Raw genomic sequence first — 19,378 nt, forward strand, 5'->3', positions numbered from 1 at the left:
AACCAAACAACAACAAAATATATATATAGCTCTCTAGGTTTTTATGTTAAATATTAGAGTGCCTAAGAATGTACATGGTTGGCAGAGGATCTTGCAGCTCATAGTGATAAACTTTAGTATTTACATAAAAATACTAGATAGCTAGTAGATTCAATGTTCTGCTTCTGAAAAAGATATATTTTTGGTTTTGCCTTTTAGTGAATTTCTTTTGGATGCTTAACACAATGTTAATATAGTTACAAACCAACTTGCTAATATTTGGAAACCCACTTAAAAGCTATCTTCATTTCATATGATGTGATTTTTAAGATTTTAAATTTGGGGCTGAGTTTGTATCTTAATAATTAAGGCTGCACACATTGACAACTACAAAATAATGCCTGGGAAGATGAGTCCTGAGGCTAATTTTATATTTATGTGGATGAGTGTGGAGGGGGATAATAATTCTGAAATACTTAATCACAGACCTAAAATGTAGATCTATGGGTAATTTTAAATGTTGCCTGTCAAGGCTTAATAGGGACTTGACAACAGCTAGGATGGAAATTATTTCAACACTTAAATATGCTTACTTTGTGCCGGACGCTGTTCTAAGTCTTTTACAAATATTTACTTGATATTTGTATTTTGTGTACTATTTTGATTTCTGCAACATTATTAGGCTTCATACTCTTCTGTGGGAACTGGGTTCAAATGGTTCCAGATGAAAATACAAATAGTCCTGTGATTAGTTTTGTTCTACATCTTATGACAGATACTTCATGAAAGGAAATATGAAAAGGCCACATCTTGCTTTGAAATAAGTGAGATGGAGCCTCTCCCTCTTTTTACTGTTAATGTTCATAGTTTTAAAAATCCTAGAATTTTGCTGCTTTTCAAAATGTTAAGTTGGAAAGCAAGAATAAAATGACCCTTTTTTCAAATGTTTTCTGTACCATTTATTGCATTGTTTACATTTTATGCATCTCATTTCTAAATGAACTCATGGTAACAGAGACTGTAACACTTTTGCATCACCGGAATCTTCTAGGTGTGTAAAATGATGGACGAGTGAATGAATAAATGGGGGAGTGGTTCAGAGCTTGGAATGGCGCTATGAAGGTGGTGAAGTGACGTCCCTACCCCCTCAACACACATATAAAAATTATGAATTTATAAACATTTTCCTCTTGATGTAATTTTTCAATGGAGGGAAGAGGATAAATTCATAGTTCTGGCACTTACATCTGGAATTAGGCTACACAGTCTACGGGAAGCAAGTTAACACAGTCTAACAGATGCACGTGAATTTCATGCTGGGCGAAGATGAACTATGTGGAAGATGACTTATAAGGAGCTTTTATGTTACATCTTGGCAGTTAACACAGTCTAACTGATGCACGTGAATTTCATGCTGGGCGAAGATGAACTATGTGGAAGATGACTTATAAGGAGCTTTTATGTTACATCTTGGCAGTTAACACAGTCTAACAGATGCACGTGAATTTCATGCTAGGCAAAGATGAACTATGTGGAAGATGACTTATAAGGATCTTTTATGTTACATCTTGGCCTGAGGTTAGGAAACTAAAGATGACAAAGGCACTGTTTTAGTATGGGTTTTCTGGTTTCGCTTTTGTCGTGGGGGCGGGGTGGGATAGTGGACTCGTACCCTAACAAAGACCCACTCGAGGCTGCGTGTCGGCCCGGGGGCAGCAGGGGGCAGGAGAAGCTGGCTCTAGACCACGCGTTCCTTTTCACGTGACCAGTCGCTCTCTTTCCCGTGGCGGCCCTGCTTCCGGCAGGGGCATCACCCGGAAGTGGGGGTAGTCGAGGGAGGGAGGGGTAAAGGCGGCTGGCCGCCGCGGCGGGGGGTGGGAAAAGAGAAGCAGAGGGAGGAGTTGTTGCTGCCGCCGCCGCAGCCGCAGCTACTGTGACTTCTCCGATTGTGTGAGCTTTGTTGGAGCCTGCGTACGTGGATTTATCGCTGCCACGGTCTGCGTAGCTCCAGAGGTTTAACCATAGGATAGAGAAACCAGGTAAGTCCTACATTGGCTTCCCGTCGTCCTTTCTCCTGGAGGGGGTCTTCTGTGCTGTCAGTTTGTACTACGAGTGTGGTGAGAAGGTCATGTTAGTCTGGGGCAGTCTCGAAAGTTTCACTTATTCACAATTCAGGTATTAACTACATTTATGTTTTACCTCCCCTAACAGGGGATAGAGGAGGGGAAATTAAATCCTGACCTGTGTCACTTTCTTGTACCCTCTTGGAGAGAATGTCCTGATCATCCATGGCCTACGTTACCCAATTAATTGAGGGTACAAGAAAGTTTGTGTTTGGCATTGAAAGTCACATGGACTGGGGTCTTTGCTTAGTGACACCTCTTTATACTTTGGAAGCTAAGGTTACTAAAATGACCATAATTGATGAAATAATAATTGAAAAATAGATATTTGGCTTCTTGTCTTGCTCTGGGAGCGTAAGGTAAACTGAGAGAACTCTTGTTTCCACTTAGTTTTGTTCATTGTGCCCCCTTTCCAGTAAAGTTACTGTCCATTGTCCGACCCTGTGGCATCTTATCTTTGACACTTTTCTTCGTTGTAGACGTTGAGATTATCTTAAGCACAAACACTTATCGTTTCACAATTCAGCGTTTGTCCAGGATCTGATCTTTATTTTAATCACAGACTCTTTATCTACAATAGTATGGCTTTGTATTGAGAATATGTGCAGAACATTGAATTAGATGATACTGAGGTTATTAATTTTTTTTTTTTTTTGCCGGGTGCGGGGGGGTGGTGGGGAGGGGGTGATGCACAAGAAATAAGACAGAGTTCCTGGCCTCAAAAGAGTTTACTTACAGTAGGCTGGGCGCAGTGTCTGACACACCTGTAATACCAACACTTTGGGAGGCCGAGGAGGGTGGATCACCTGAGGTCAGGAGATCGAGACCAGCCTGGCCATCATGGCGAAACCCTGTCTTTACTAAAAATACAAAAATTAGCTGGGCGTGGTGGCGGGCGCCTGTAATCCCAGCTAGTCGGGAGACTGAGGCAAGAGGATCGCTTGAACCTGGGAGGCGGATGTTGCAGTGAGCCGAGATCGTGCCACTGCACTCCAGCCTGGGCTACAAGAGCGAAACTGTCTCCAAAAAAGAAGAAAGAAAAATAAACAGTTTACATACAATTGAGTCCGAATTGAGTCAGTTGAATTCAGCTATGAAGACAACGGTTTCTAGCAGCCCCACTGACTGAATTACTAGGTTGCTTATCACATCCTTTTCAATGGTTATTTTTGAACTGGCATTTTATTATATTTAACATTTTCTGGTGTCTAAGGTCATGACATGAGAGAGTTTTTTTTGTACTTGAGGATCTCAATGTAGTAGGAAAGAAAGATACACGATTACCTAAACATTTAAAAAATCTCACTAACGTTATATATTAGAAACAGGAGGTGTTATGAGAGTGCAGGGAAGGGAGCATGTGAACTGGGCTTTGAAAAATAGATAGGATTTAGCTTTGCAGGAATGGAGGAAGAGGAAGACATCTATCTGGACTGATAGATAGAAGAAATAATGTGAGCAAAGCCATGGGGGTCTGGAAAGTTGCCCGACATCCAGTAACACACTGTAAGTCAATATTCCTATTTCTAACAGCCACATCTTCCAAGATGTCACTGATTAAAATTAGAAAAAATATAGAATACAAAACTAGTCAGCTCACAAACATATCCAACTGCCCTCCAGCCAATAAGAAAGCTTATATAGAGAAAAAAATACATGGAAATGACAAAAGCAATGTTAATGTATGAGGCTTAATTCTGATGTAAACTCAAATCTAAAAGAGAAAAAATGTAAAACTCGCTATACTTTAATTCTGATTGAGTGTTGTGCCTTAAATATAATTTGGAATCATTTTTAAAATTGTTGGGAATGAATAACATTTTCTGAAGTGAGCAACTGTTCCAGGTTTTCCCCAAGGAATCTCTGCTTTTCCTTTTTTCCTCTAAATTGATTTCTCTCTATTGATCTTCTTAACTTGATAGGAACTATTCTATTCCGATCACAGCCTTAGAAAGATCTTGATGCCTGCCCTCAAGATAAGGTTAAACACTAATCCCTCCAAAGGATAGGTTAACATCTCTGTTCTCTAAAGCAGAAGGTTGATTTTCTTTGAAAAATGCTTGCAGAAGCAGTAAAATTTGCTTACAAAACAAGAGAGAGAGAGAAAAGAGTGCAAAAATAACCCCAGCTAACACACCACAACCTTCACTTCTGTGAGGGCGCTAAAGGAAATACATTTTAAAAAAATAAATTCCTTGTTATAACTCCTTTTATCTATATATTTAAAAGCTCTTGGCAAACTTTATTAATCAAGACTTTGGACATCCTGATGAGTGAAAATAATCTTCATTTGCCAGTTGGGAAAGTAAATTGCAAGGAGAGATTTTTGTCTGAACTCATAGAAGCACTAGCATAGATGAGAATAGTATTTGGGAGTTTTGTCTCAAAATTCCTTCTATTCATCTTTGTTAAAGGGCAGTTCAGGTTTTAGCGTTTTGTTTTTAGACAACGATATTTCTTAGGATATAGCTCAACATGGGGCCGGGGCAAGGGGGAGGCTGGGGGACAGATGAGTGATAGGCAATGGTTAGGCAGAGTATTTTAGTTCACTCTACCATCCCAGCAATCATGTTTTTCCCTCTTAAATCTCAGTCTTCAGGTTGATTTAATGTGATATTACTTGCTTACTTAACTTGCTGAGATAGTTTGGCAGGAAAAATATCAAAATTCCTTTAGAATGTGTTTCATTAAAGTAAAAGGGTCCTGTGTTTCTGATTTTATAAAATGTTCTTACTTTTTCCAGCACTGTTTGCAAATTGAAGTGATTTCCTAATCTTTTTGTGCCCAAATGTATGAGATATTGGTAGACTACATCAGTTTTCACAGATACCTCTTTCCTTGAAGGAAATGAGGGTAAAATACCCCATTTTGAGTCAGTTATGTGTACTTTGTACCATATTTTCTGTTCACATTTAAAATTATACAGCTATGTCTCAAGGATGAAAAAAGAGTTTTACTTATTTTTACTATTAATCTCTAGTGTAGAAGTCCAGTTTTTCAGACCTATAATCAGGAGTGCATTTTTAACAATTTACCAGTTGAAATAAATGGGTTATTTCACATTGTAGGGATATTGTTTTAGACTGGCCATTAACCTTATTTTATTTTATTTTTATTTTAAAAGATGTTATTGTTATTATTTATCTATGTATTTATTTCTAGAGGCAGGGCCTCGCTCTGTGGCCCAGGCTAGGGTGCCATGGCACAATCATAGCTCACTGCAGCCTTAATCTCCTGGGCTCAAATGATCCTCTGGCCTCTCAAGTAGCTGGAACCACAGGCGCATGCCACCATGCCTAGCTACTTATTTATTAATTAATTATTATTTTTTAAATAATATTATTTTTAAGAGATGGGGTCTTGCTCTGTCACCCAGGCTGGAGTGCAGTGGCGCCATCATAACTCACTGCAGTCTCGATCTCCCAGGCTCAAGCGATCCTCCTACCTCAGCCTCCTGAGTAGCTGGGACTATAGGTGTGTGCCACCACTCCCAGCTAATTTTTAAACTTTTTGTAGAGACAGCATCGTGCTGTGCAGTGGTGCTATCTCGGCTCACTGCAACCTCCGCCTCCTGGGTTCTAGTGATTCTCTTGCTTCAGTCTCCCAAGTAGCGGGGATTACAGGTGCGCGCCACCACACTTGGTTAGTTTTTGTATTTTTGGTAGAGAAGGGGTTTTGCCATGTTGGTCAGGCTGGTATCGAACTCCTGACTGACCTCAAGTGATCCACCCTCCTCAGCCTCCCAAAGTGCTGGGATTACAGGCATGAGCCACTGTGCCAGGCCTTAAAACACCTAGTGTTAAAAATGGTGTCTTAATTGTATTCTCAGATTCTCCTAGAAAGAAAAGATATACTAAATGTATATTTAGATATACTAAAACACCTAATGTTTATTTTTGTTTATTTATTTTTGAGATGGAGTCTGGCTCTGTCACCTAGGCTGGAGTGAAATGGTCTATGTTTGTTTTTTCATCTTGACAGTAATATCTTTGAACATTTTCTGGAGTATTAGATATTATTCTCTTGATGCTTCAAGGTATCTTAACTTCACCATTGTATTGCGATATATTGTTTTGGAGAGACAGTATAATATAGGATTAAGAGTGGAGGCTAGGTGGGGCACAGTTGCTCACGCCTGTAATCCCAGCACTTTGGGAGGCCGTGGCAGGCGGATTGCTTGAGCCCAGGCGTTCGAGACCAGCCTGGGCAACATAGGGAAACCCTGTCTCTACAAAAAATACAAAAATTAGCTGAGTGTGTTGGCACGTGCCTGTAGTCCCAGCTACTCAGGAGGCTGAGGTGGAAGGATCGCTTGAGCCTGGAAGGTTGAGGCTGCAGTGAGCTGAGATCACACCACTGCACTCCACCCTGGATGAGAGAGTGACAGAGTGAGACCCTGTCTTGTCCGGAAAAAAAAAAAAAGCCTGTCTTGTCTGGCTCAGTCCAGGTGCTAGACTGTCTAGGTGGGATCCCAGCCCCTCTGCTTACTACTTGTATGACCCTGCGCAGATTTCATACTCCTCTGTGCCTCAGTTCCTTCAAATTTCTAAAATGGGGACAATAACAGTACCTGTCTCACAGGATTGTTAATGATCTAATACATGTACGGTGTCTGGCAGATAGTAAACATACAATAAAATGTAGTTACCTTTAATATTTTAATATATTATTTACTGTAAAAGTAATTTTAACATCCTATATAATAAAATTATAAATTACAGTTTTGCTGTACTATAAATTTAGTAGACTACAGGATCAATATACTAATCAATCAATACTTGCAAGCAATATTTAAATTCTTTAAAAAAATTTTTTTTGGAGACAGGGTCTTGCTCCGTAGCCCAGGCTGGAGTTGCAATGGCACGATCTCGGCTCACTGCAACCTCTGCCTCCAGGGTTCAAGCGATTCTCATGCCTCAGCCCCCCGAGTAGATGGGGTTACAGGCGTGTGCCACCACACCCGGCTAATTTATTTATTTTTAGTAGAGATGGGGTTTCGCCATGTTGGCCAGCCTGGTCTCAAACTCCTGGCCTCAGGTGATCTGTCCGCTTCAGCCTCCCAAAGTGCTGGGATTACAGGTTTGAGCTACCGCTCCCGGCCCTGCCACCACGCCCGGCACAATACTTAATTTCTAACTTACACCATAGAAAATTGGCCGGTGCGGTGGCTCACGCCTGTAATCTCAGCACTTTGGGAGGCTGAGGTGGGTAGATTGCTTGAATTCAGGAGTTCCAGACCAGCCTGGGCAACAAGGTGAAACCCCATCTCTACAAAAATTACAAAAAATAGCCAGGTGTGGTGGCATGCGCCTATAGTCCCAGCTACTGGGGAGGCTAAAGTGGGGGAATTGCTTGAGCCTGGGAGGTTGAGGCTGCAATGAGCTGAGATCATGCCACTGCAGTCCAGCCTGGGTGACAGAGTGAGACCCTGTCTCAAAAAAAAAAAAAAAAAGAAAAAAAAAGAGAAAGAAAATGGAAAACTCAGATTGAGAGGGTCCCCCAGTAGCCTATAGTACACCTACATATGCTAACATGGCATCTTAAAGCTCATTATTACAGCTGGCAAATCAAATCACTGTGATGTGCTCATCCTATTTCCCTATCAAGAAAACTCATAACAATCTGCTTCTGTAATTAGTGAGCCACAGACTCTAGGCCATCGAGATTTTCCACATTCCCTAATTGTCAAATGCTGAACCATACTTGTACTGAATAAGTTGTGATACAGTGTAAGCAAGGGAAAAGGCCTTATGTATGTCTAACCTACTCTGCAAATAGCTGCATTCTTACAAAGTTGTGTGTAAATTGAATTTTTACAAAGCATGTCAGCACTTTGATTAGTACATTTTTATTGTGTGCTTATTGCATATTCAGTGTTTCCTGTGAGCTATACAAAGAAGCATAAGGCATATGTTCCAATGTCTAGCAAGAGAAAGAAGTTTAATACCAAGCAGAGAGAAATTAGGTACTACTAAACTATGAAACTGATTCCAGGGTATTCGGAATTTAAAAAGAAAGTGGCTAGGAGTATTTGACATGATTTTTCATGAAGGAGGTGGGACTTCAGTTCATTTACTTACTCAACAGTGATTTATTGAGTAGCCACCATGTTCACTGGTGGTATGATAGTGAACAGAGCAGATATGGTCCTGTTTCTGTGGAGTTTACAGACTAGTGAAGTAATAGAACTTAAATATGTGCAAGAAAACATTCTAGGTGAGGGGACCAGTTCTAAACAAAGTCATAGAAATAAATGATAAGAGCATGGACTATATGGCAATCAGTGAAGGGACTTGCTTGATTGTAGTAGAGATTTTATGTTGGGGAGGAGCACTGCAAGTGATAGATGCAGACCATCTTTTGAATGCTTTGAAGAACTATTTAAGTCTGTCTAAAAGTCCTTTGGATACACTGTTCTGGAGAGGGTTTGGGGCTTTGGGGTCATACTGCCTTGGTTTGATCTCATCTCTACTCTAATTTGTTTAAGTTTAGAATTTTATAGTAAGTTTTCTCAGTGACACAACTCTATAGGCAACAAACTGATATTTACAGAGTGGTTGGGGTCAGTAACCCTTGTATCAGTTAAGCAATGTACACATGAAGTGCCAGTAGGAAGTCCAAGGAAAGGTTGGGAGAAATAAAAGGAGGTTAGTAAAGGAAAGAGAAATAAATACATTCTGTGATAGTTGGTAGAATGTCATCAGAAATGTCTTCAAGCAAAACAATACATTTGCCTGTCTTTTGTTTCTAGTTGCGTTTAATGGTAGTGTGTTTTCCTTGTCTAAATATGAGAAAGAGAAACTAAACTGCAGCTACTTGACGTGGGCATCTGAGAGCTACCAATGGTTGGCTTAGGTTATGTTCTACATTTGAAGCATCTGGTCAGTTTTAGATTGTCTTCTATATTTGAAGCATCTGGCTAGACCACTTGTGTCCCAGTTTTCTATTTTACCTAAACTCAACTTGGTCAGAAGCTTATGTAGTAAGTATTGTTTGTAACCTGTGTTAGTACTCTCTTAACATGGCTTAAAGCATGAATGGATTGTCAAATGAATACCTGTTATGACCTGTATTTTTTCTTGTTACCTTTGGATTTAATGTAAGTATAATAATGCTCTAAGAACATTTGACAGTATTGTTCAGGCACTTTTTTTTTTTTTTTTTTGAGACAGGGTCTGGCTTTATTGCCTAGGCTGGAGTGCAGTGGCACGATCACAGCTCACTGCAGCCTCAACCTCCTGGGCTCAAGCAATCCTCCTACTTCAGCATTCCAAGTAGATAGGACCACAGGCATGTGCCACCATGCCTGGCTAATTTTTAAAATTTTTTTTTTGTAGAGACGGGATCTTACTTTGTTGCCCAGGCTGGTCTTGAACTCCTGGGTTCAAGTGATTCTCCTGCCTCAGCCTCCCCAAAGTGCTAGGAGTACACAGGCATGAGCCATCATGCATAGCTGCTTATTCAGGTGCTTTTAAGAAATTTTTTCCACCAGAAAAGTAGAAATGATCATACCAGACTACCTTTGTCTCCTCCCAATCTTTTATTATGGTGATGTCCAACCTTGTTATAAGGAGGAGCTTCTTTTAATCTCAGAGTCATGAGATCAGGGCAGATACTGACAGTATAGTTCCTGAGAAGTAGTTGCTGGCTGTGCTGTTCTTCCTTTCCCAATGGGAATCTTAGCTGAGACATGTAGCAGAGAGAAGACATTATGGGGAGCCAGCATGGAGCTTTATAGGAGGTGAGGTGTCTAGATCTACCAGTAGATCCCGATTTGCAGGTTTGAGACTCCTACCTTATTTCATCCATGGCTGTTGCATTGTACAAATCTAGTGGGCAGCAGCCACAGTCTGTAAAAATTATGACATGGAATTACACAATGTGGCAGCCCTGGAAACTACCCAAACCACTTCTATTTCTAGTCCTGTATTCCCTTCAATACCTACTACATCCAGCAGCCGTGATAGTCCCAACACGTTTATCATTTGACTCTCTTTGCCTCCCACTTGAAGGCTCCCCTTTAATCCAACAGATAAAAATTACATCTTTGTCTAAGGATTTCAAGGTGTTGCATAAATTTTCTTATTCTATTTAAGTATACTCATCAAGAAAATGATAATAACTGCCTCGTCTAATTCATAGGTTTTTATCAGTATCAAGTGGAATAATGTATGCAAAAACTTCATAAATTAAAGAATACTACACAAATATAATATTCTTTTCAGATATATTATGTTGTGGAAAGAATACTGAATTCCAATCAGATGTCTGGCATCTCAGTTCTTTCTGCTATTAACAAACTGTGACTTTGGACAAATTACTTTGTGCTCTGGGGACTTTGTTTCCTTACCTATAAGAGGAAACTTATAATGCCACTCCTATCTACCCAGACACCTAAGAGCTACTTTTTCCTCACCTCCACATTCAGTCACCAAATTTGTTGTCTAGTTCTTAAAATTTCTTAAGTTGGTCCTGCCCTCTCTATCTCCATTCAGTTCCTAATCACTTCCCTTTTGGGCAGCAGCCTGTTAAAAAAAATTGTGGTAAAATATGCATAATATAATATTGACTATTTTAACCTTTTTTTTTGAGACGAAGTCTCACTCTGTCACCCAGGATGCAGTGCAATGGTGTGATCTCTGCTCACTGCAGCCTCCGCCTCCCAGGCTCAAGCAATTCTCCTGCCTCAGCCCCCTGAGTAGCTAAGATTACAGGCACACGCCACCCCTGGCTAATTTTTGTATTTTTAGTGGAGACGGGGTTTCACCATGTTGGCCAGGCTGGTGTCAAGCTCCTGACCTCAAATGATCCACCCGCCTTGGCCTCCCAAAGTGCTGGGATTACAGGCGTGAGCCACTGTGTCCGGCCCCATTTTAACCATTTTTAAAGGTACAAGTCAGTGGCATTGAGTGCATTCTCAGTGTTGTACAATCATCACTGTTATGCATTTCCAGATTTTTTTCATCATCCCAAACTGAAACTCTGTACCCATTAAATAATAGCTTCTCATTCTGCCTTCTCTCACCCCCTGGTAACCTCATTCTACTTTCTGTCTCTATGAATTTACCTATTCTAGGTACTTTTTGAAAAATAATTTCAACATTTATTTTTGATTCAGAGGGTACATTTGCAGGTTTGTTACCTGGCTATATTGCATGATGCTGAGGTTGGGGTACAATTGATCCTGGCAATCAGGTACAGAGCAGAGTGCACAATAGTTTTTCAACCCTTGCCCCACTCCCTCCCCACCCAGTAGTCCGCAGTATCTATTGTTGCCATCTTTATGTCTATGAGTACCCATTTTTTTTTTTTTTGAGACGGAATCTCGCTCTGTCGCCCAGGCTGGAGTGCAGTGGTGTGATCTCGGCTCACTGCAAGCTCTGCCTCTCGGGTTCATGCCATTCTCCTGTCTCAGCCTCCCGAGTAGCTGGGACTACAGGTGCCCGCCACCACGCCTGGCTAATTTTTTTTGTATTTTTAGTAGAGACTGGGTTTCAACATGTTAGCCAGGATGGTCTTGATCTCCTGACCTCGTGATCCGCCCACCTCGGCCTCCCAAAGTGCTGGGATTACAGGCGTGAGCCACCGCGCCCGGCTGAGTACCCATTGTTTAGCTACCACTTATAAGTGAGAACGTGTGGTATTTGGTTTTCTGGTCTGCGTTAGTTTGCTTAGGATAATGGCCTCCAGCTGATTCCATGTTGCTGCAAAGGACATGATTTTGGTCTTTTTTTAATGGCTGCATAGTATTCCATGGTGTATATGTACCACATTTTCTTTATCCAATCCACCATTGATGGGCACCTAGGTTGATTCTATGTCTTTATTATTGTGAATAGTGCTGCATTAAACATAGAAGTGCATGTCTCTTTTTGGTAGGACAATTTATTTTCTTTTGGATATATACTCAGTAATGGGATTACTGGGTCGAATTGAGTTCTAAGTTCTTTGAGAAATCTCTGTACTGCTTTCCACCACGGCTGAACTAATTTACATTCCCACCAACAGTACCTAAGCATTTCTAGGTACTTTTAATAAATGGAATAATACAATATTTGCCCTTTTGTGTCTGGCTTATTTTACCTAGCATAATGTCTCAAAATTTCATCCATGTTGTAGTATATGTGAGAATTTCTTTCCTTTTTATGGCTGAATAATATTCCATTGTTGGGTAATAACGTTTTAACTGGTCCTCCTAACTCCAGGCTTTGCCCTATCAAATTTGTCCTTCGTGATCTGACCTTACTTACCTTTACAATCTCCTTGTTGTTACCATTCATGCCATATGCCTCAGCCATACCAGTGGTGGTCCTTAAATATGGCATGCTGTTTGACAACTCTGTAACTTTATTCATGGCTCTTTTGTCTGAAATTTATTTCCATTCTTCTGGAGAACTCCTACTCAATCTTCAAGGCCGTTTACCTAACAATAGTGGATGGGTGAAATTATGATACGTTCATATAGTGGACTTCTAGTCAGCCTTTTAAAATTATGGCATATATATTAGTGGTTAAAAGCACAGGCTCTGGACCAGGCTTACTGGGATCGAATTTCAAATCTGTCACTTACTAACTATGTGACCTTGGGAAAGTTCCTTACCCTCTCTGTATCTCAATTTTTTCATCTATGAAACAGGGATAGTAATTGTATCTATCCCATCAGGTTGCTGTGAACATTTAATTACTTAGAAGTATTAGCTAGGCCAGGTGCAGTGCCTCACGCCTGTAATCCCAGCACTTTGGGAGTCCCAGGCGGATGGATCACTTGAAGTCAGGAGTTTGACACCAGCCTGGCCAACATGGTGAAACCCTGTCTCTACTAAAAAATAGATAAAAATTAGCCAGGCTTGGTGGTGGGCACCTGTAATCCTAACTACTTGGGAGACTGAGGCAGGAGAATCACTTGAACCCAGGAGGCGGAGGGTGTGGTGAGCTGAGATCACGCTACTGCACTCTAGTCTGGGCAACAGAGCTAGATTCTGCCTCAAAAAAATAAAAATAAAAATAAAAATATTAGCTATTATGTTTTATTTATTTGTTAGTTTTTAAATTTTTCGTAGAGATGGGGTCTCGCTATGTTGCTCAGGCTGATCTTGAACTCCTGGCCTCAAGAAGTCCTCCTGCTTTGGCCTCTCAAAGTGCTGGGATTACAGGCGTGAGTCACTGTGCTCGGTCAAAAGTATTAGCTATTGTTATATATTAATATTTACTGTCATAGAAAAATGTTTATTATATAGTGTTAAATGAAAAGAAACATGCTGTAAAATAGAATAGTATATCATTTTTGTTAAAAATGTGTGTGTTCTTGGGTGTGGTGGCTCACGCCTGTAATCCCAACACTTTGGGAGGACCAGGCAGGAGGGTTGCTTGAGGCTGGGAGTTTGAGACCAGCCTGGGCAATATAGGGAGACCTCATCTCTACAAAAAATAAAAAATTAGCTGGGCATGTGGTGCATGCCTTGAGTCCCAGCTACTCAGGAGGCTGAGGTGAGAGGATTGCTTGAGCCTAGGAAGTCGAGGCCACAGTGAGCTATTACTGTGCCATTGCACTCCAGCCTGGGCAACAGAGTGAGATCCTGTCTCAAAAAAATGTGTGTTTATATGTAGACACACATATAATACCCTCCTAGACTTACATACACACACCCCACCCCACCCCACATACACAACCCTCAACATGTTAGCCTTCATTATTTCTCAGTGATAGACCAATTGGTTGTTTATTTTTTATATTTGCTTATCTGTATTTCCTGTTTTTCTCCATTTGACATTTATTTCTTACATTTGGGGAGCATGAAAAAAGACACAGTTAAAGCATCTCTTCTGTGAAGCCTTCCCTGATTTCCCTTCCTTCGTCCTTTAGGGCACCAGAATACCTTGCATCCCTGAACTCCTTAAAGCCTGTATTATATTCATTTACATTTTAATCCCCAACTGGGACTAGTGCAGAGCCTAAAAGATACATGAACTTAGCCATATTAGTAAGGTGAAAATGGAATTATGTGCAAGCACTTTACACATGTTATCTCATATACAGCACTCAGCAGTCTCATGAGTAAGAGTTATCTGTGTTTTTCAGATGAGGAAACTGAGCATCAGAAGAGACCAAACAATTTGCTGAAGGTATACAACAGTAAGCAACAGAATTTGGATTCAAATCCAAGTCTGTCTGATGCCAAAGGTGGTCTTTTCAATGTATATTGAATGACTGAATGATCTAATGAATATATCTGCTGTCTCAGATGACATAATTTATGAAAGACTTATTGGTAAACAAATATGCTATATGAATGTAAAGATATGTTGTTGTTATTTTCTGCTATATTTTCATCTGCACCCTAGATTCTGACTAGGCAAATGAGCTTTCCTTCTCCCCATGCACAATTTTTTCCCTCTGTTAGTATAAATTGGCAATTTTGGCTCTCCATTTGTCTTTTTATACTGCCCATGCTCTTTCCACTCTTTAGGAACCTGACTCATAATTATGATATTAAGCTTTTCAGATTAATCTAGCCATGTCCATCAGATTTACTGTTGTGTGTACATGTTGAGAAAACTAATTAGAAAGTATCTGGCCAGATACAATTTGTTTCAGTGATGCCAAAGTATGGTAATTCCTAGTTTAATGTGTTTACCTTTTTCTTTTTTTTTCTTTCTTTCTTTTTTTTTTTTTGAGACAGAGTCTGTTTACCTTTTTTTGTGTGCTGATATGTCCACATTTAATTTCCTACATTCATATTCATACCGCTTTCAAAAGAAGGTGTTGTCAATGATAAAACATTAGACAGAAATAGTTTTTAGACAGAGGATGTTAATAAGTTCAGCCTATGTCTTATTTAGGTTTATGTTTTTGTGTGTATGTGTGCACAGCCTTCATCATTTAAGTTTATGTTTTGTGTGTATGTGTATGCAGCCTTCATCAAAAGAAAAAAGGCAGATAGTCAAGAGGTGTTTTAATAATTTATATCACAGCTACAACAGAATATACTAAACCAAAATTTAGAATTTGATTATAGCTTGACTCCCTACAATTTTTTCAGAATTAAAAAGATGAATCCCCTTTAAAGCAAACTAACTGAAGGGAAGCATCTACTTTGTGAAAATTGCCTGTCTAAAATGGGGTGGGAAATAACTCCCTTTTAAGTACCGCACTTTTTTTTATTCTACCAGAACCTGGTTTCTAAAGATTTCAACCTATTTTTATAGTCTCAGTTTTGTGAGATGACAAAGTTCATCTTAGTGATTTCTAACTAAGAAAGCACAACCACAGAAACGAGGAATGGATTCTGGAAAGGGAAACTTCCTGCAAATTATGATGAATTTACAGAAATAGTAAATATTTAAATTCCATAAATAGTTAATATTGTTGTTGATAATTATTTGTCTTGATTTCTGTTCAAGAAGTATACATTTGAATTAGCACACAGTTTATTTTATTCCTAGCAATTTAGTATATTTTTCATAGCCATCAATATTTGGGATTCTGCTTGCTTATGATTACAAATCACTTGAAACCTGCCAGTTGAAAATTCTCAAGGGTGTGAAATGATATGGGCCTTCAGTGAATTCATTCCCCTTTATCTGTATAAAATACCTGGCTAAACAGTTGTCTTTGACAATTTTAAATTACTGTTTCCTTTCTTAAAAACTCCTTTCCAGAAGCTGATCTCCCGTACATTTCCAGTACATAATTTTTCATCCTTATCTGTCCTGACAGTGATTCAGCTTTGAATAAGAGAGAATGTTACCAGAGTTTCACCTTTATTGGCCTAAGTCTTTGTTTATTTTTTGAGACAGAGTCTTGCTCTGTCGCCTAGGCTGGAGTGCAGTGGCATGATCTCGGCTCACTGCAACTTCTGCCTCCCGGGTTCAAGTGATTCTCCTGCCTCAGCCTCCCGAGTAGCTGGGACTGCAGGAACGCGCCACCACGCCCAGCTTATTTTTGTATTTTGGGTAGAGACGGGGTTTCGCCATGTTGGCCAGGCTGGTCTCGAACTCCTGACCTCAGGTGATCCACCCACCTCGGCCTCCCAAAGTGCTGGAATTACAGGCATGAGCCACTACGCCCAGCCAGCCTAAATCTTTAAAACAGGACATGAAAGGAATTGAAGGGTTGGGTATGGGTGGGGTTGTAGATCTAGACTATATTTATGGAATGTTTGCTTCCTTCGTGCTGAAAATTGTTCTTTGGACCTTGGGATGAAAAGAGAAAATATATGAAAAATAAGAATGTTATGAAAAGTCTAAGTATTCTGAAAAATACATTAGTATACTACTTTATAATCATACCATATAAATATTTCAGCTATAAAAATTAATGCAAAATAAATTTTCTCCCAATATGTTAACTGCTTTAAAAAAAAGTATTGGCAAGATTGATTATATTCTTTCCTAAGAGGAAAGATAACTTTGCATAATCACCAAGATGGTTTACCAACATACACCACGTATACTGAGTATTACAGTCTTCACCAACATGAGTCAAATGCTAGCGTGTATAGGGTTGGTAGTATAAACCTACCTGGTACCTTTTTGGTTTTGCTGACTAAATGGTGCTAATGAAGCCAGGGTTATAGACTTCATCTCTGTGGGAGTCACTTGTTCTTTGGAGTCATTAGGTATGCCACTAACTCTGCTCCACAGTTTTCCGAATGCAGTTTGTTCATTAAGAAAGGGAGGCTAGTACAGAGTAAAAATAGCTCAGCAAAAAGCCATCATCAGTACCCATGCCCTTAGCCTCCTGATAGGGGGAGGAGGGTCTTTAATGTCCAGGCTTTCAAACTCACATATACATTTTTATTATTAATCAGTGGAGGCTGCACTTAGAAATTTATTTCTTTGGACTTCTGCAATATTCTGCTTATAAAGTGTTTCTGTGGTTTCAACTGTAGATCCCTTTTTGCCTTTATCTCCAGACTCTTTTGTCTCAAAACTTTATGGTCTCAGAGAACTAAGGAAAGACTTGGCTCACTATATGCATTTGCAGAAAGTAATAAGGCTTTTTTTTTTTTTAACGCCATAAAGTGATCTCAGCAAAGTGACAAATCTACAGTTTCAGAACTGAAACTAAACAACTCTTTCGTGGTTTATTAGACTCTTCTATATTAAGTAGAGCAGTTTTAGGTGAGCCTCTGGGAATCTCATGAAACTGAGCTTCCAGTGTGGCTCATAGTCGTTTGTAATCTATACAAATCTATAGTATCTTTCATTGAGTATCATTAAAGAATGAGGTATTTTGCAGAAGTGAATTTCCAAATAACTGAAGTATACCCTTTACATTTTTGTCATTCAGGGATCTGATGCATGCATCCTACAAAGGCATCCTTGAAATACATTTACTTTTCCAAAATAAAAATACTTTTATTTCTGATTAGAACATTGATAAATGGTCAATGTAAAAACAAAATCTAGTCAATATTTATTTATTTATTTATTTGAGACAGAGTCTCATTCTGTCGCCCAGGCAGTGGGGGCAATCTCAGCCCACTGCAACCTCTGCCTCCCAGGTTCAAATGATTCTCCTGCCTCAGCCTCCTGAGTAGCTGGGGCAACAGGCGTCCACCACCACACCCGGCTAATTTTTGTATTTTTAGTAGAGACAGGGTTTCGCCACATTGGCCAGGCTGGTCTCAATCTCCTGACCTCAAGTCATCCACCCACCTTGGCCTCCCAAAGTGCTGGGATTATAGGCATGAGCCACCACGCCCAGCCCCAGTCAATATTTAGATATCTCTCCTTTCTGAGATTTATTTTTTCTTACAGCATTTATCACTACTTGACTTTTGCAATTTTTTTTTTTTTGAGATGGAGTCTTGCTCTGTCACCCAGGCTAGAATGCAGTGGCGCAATCTCAGCTCACTGCAACCTCCACCTCCCCAGTTCAAGTGATTCTCCTGCCTCAGCCCCCCAAGTAGCTGGGATTACAGGTGCACACCACCATACCCAGCTAATTTTTGTGTTTTCAGTAGAGACGGGGTGTCACCATGTTGGCCAGGCTGATCTTGAACTCTTGACCTCAAGTGATCCTCCTGCCTCAGCCTCCCAAAGTTCCAGGATTACAGGCATGAGCCACTGCGCCTGGCTCACTACTTGATTTTATACATTCCTTTGTTTGCTTATTGTCCATCTCCCTCAAGAGAATATGAGCCCCATGAAAGAAGAGACAGTGCCCCTCTTCACTGCTGTATCACCAGCACGTAGATTAGTACCTGAAACATAATGGGACTTCAATAAATATGTGCTAACTAAATGAAGAAAGTAGAAATCACTCTTAATTCCACCATCCAGGGATTAGCCACTGTTAAGATTCTGGTATCATTTCTTTCTTTTTTTTTCTTTTTTAAAGAGCAACCCTATTAACTGATCTGGTATGATTTCTAACAAAAGTTTTTTCTCTTACATACACATTCTCATGTGTATATATAAATTTATACAACATTTTAATAGAAATAGGACTATCGTCAATTGTTTGTAGCCTCTTTTTTCACTTAACTCATCACAGACATGATGTCATTAAGCAAACAATTATGTGTTTTTAATGGAGATATGATAATATATTTGACCAATTCTGTATTGATATTTAGGTTGGTTCCAGTTTTTCAATCACATAAACAACCTTGTGATAAGCATCCTTAGCCATACATCTTAGTACAGTTGTCTGTACCTTTCCTCCCCTTTGAATATATTCTTAGAACTGGAATTTCTGGGTTAAAAGGTATGCATTTTTTTTATTATACTTTAAGTTCTAGGGTACATGTGCACAATGTGCAGGTTTGTTACATACGTATACATGCGCCATGTTGGTGTGCTGCACCCATTAACTCGTCATTTACATTAGGTATATCTCCTAATGCTATCCCTCCCCCCATCCCACAACAGGCCCCGGTGTGTGATGTTCCCCTTCGTGGGTCCAAGTGTTCTTATTGTTCAGTTCCCACCTATGAGTGAGAACATGCGGTGTTTGGTTTTTTTGTCCTTGCGATAGTTTGCTGAGAATGATGGTTTCCAGCTTCATCCATGTCCCTGCAAAGGACATGAACTCATCAAAAGGTATGTATATTTTAAGGCTTTTTTTGAGACGGGGTCTCACTCTGTCACCCAGACTGGAGTGCAGAGCTTCAATTATGGCTCACTGCAGCCTCAAGTGATCCTCCTACCTCAGCCTCACGAGTAGCTGGGACTACAGGTATGCACCACCACACCCGGCTAATTTAAAAATTTTTTGTAGGGACAGGGTCTTACTATATTGCCCAGGCTGCCTATTTTAAGGCTTTTGA

The 19,378-nt window shown here is 39.9% G+C and overlaps 1 protein-coding gene across 3 annotated transcripts in view; it reads left to right on the forward strand.

Moving 5' to 3' along the window:
* ATP7A (ATPase copper transporting alpha) overlaps positions 1,876–19,378 on the forward strand; it is a 139,703-nt gene continuing 122,200 nt past the window's right edge. For all 3 annotated transcript variants that reach the window (NR_104109.2, NM_000052.7, NM_001282224.2), the window contains exon 1: positions 1,876–2,018. The gene's annotated coding sequence lies outside the window, so the exon portion shown is untranslated. The remainder of the gene's footprint in view (positions 2,019–19,378) is intronic.

The sequence above is a fragment of the Homo sapiens genome, chromosome X (assembly GCF_000001405.40).
Source record: "Homo sapiens chromosome X, GRCh38.p14 Primary Assembly".
NCBI classification, from domain to species: domain Eukaryota; kingdom Metazoa; phylum Chordata; class Mammalia; order Primates; family Hominidae; genus Homo; species Homo sapiens.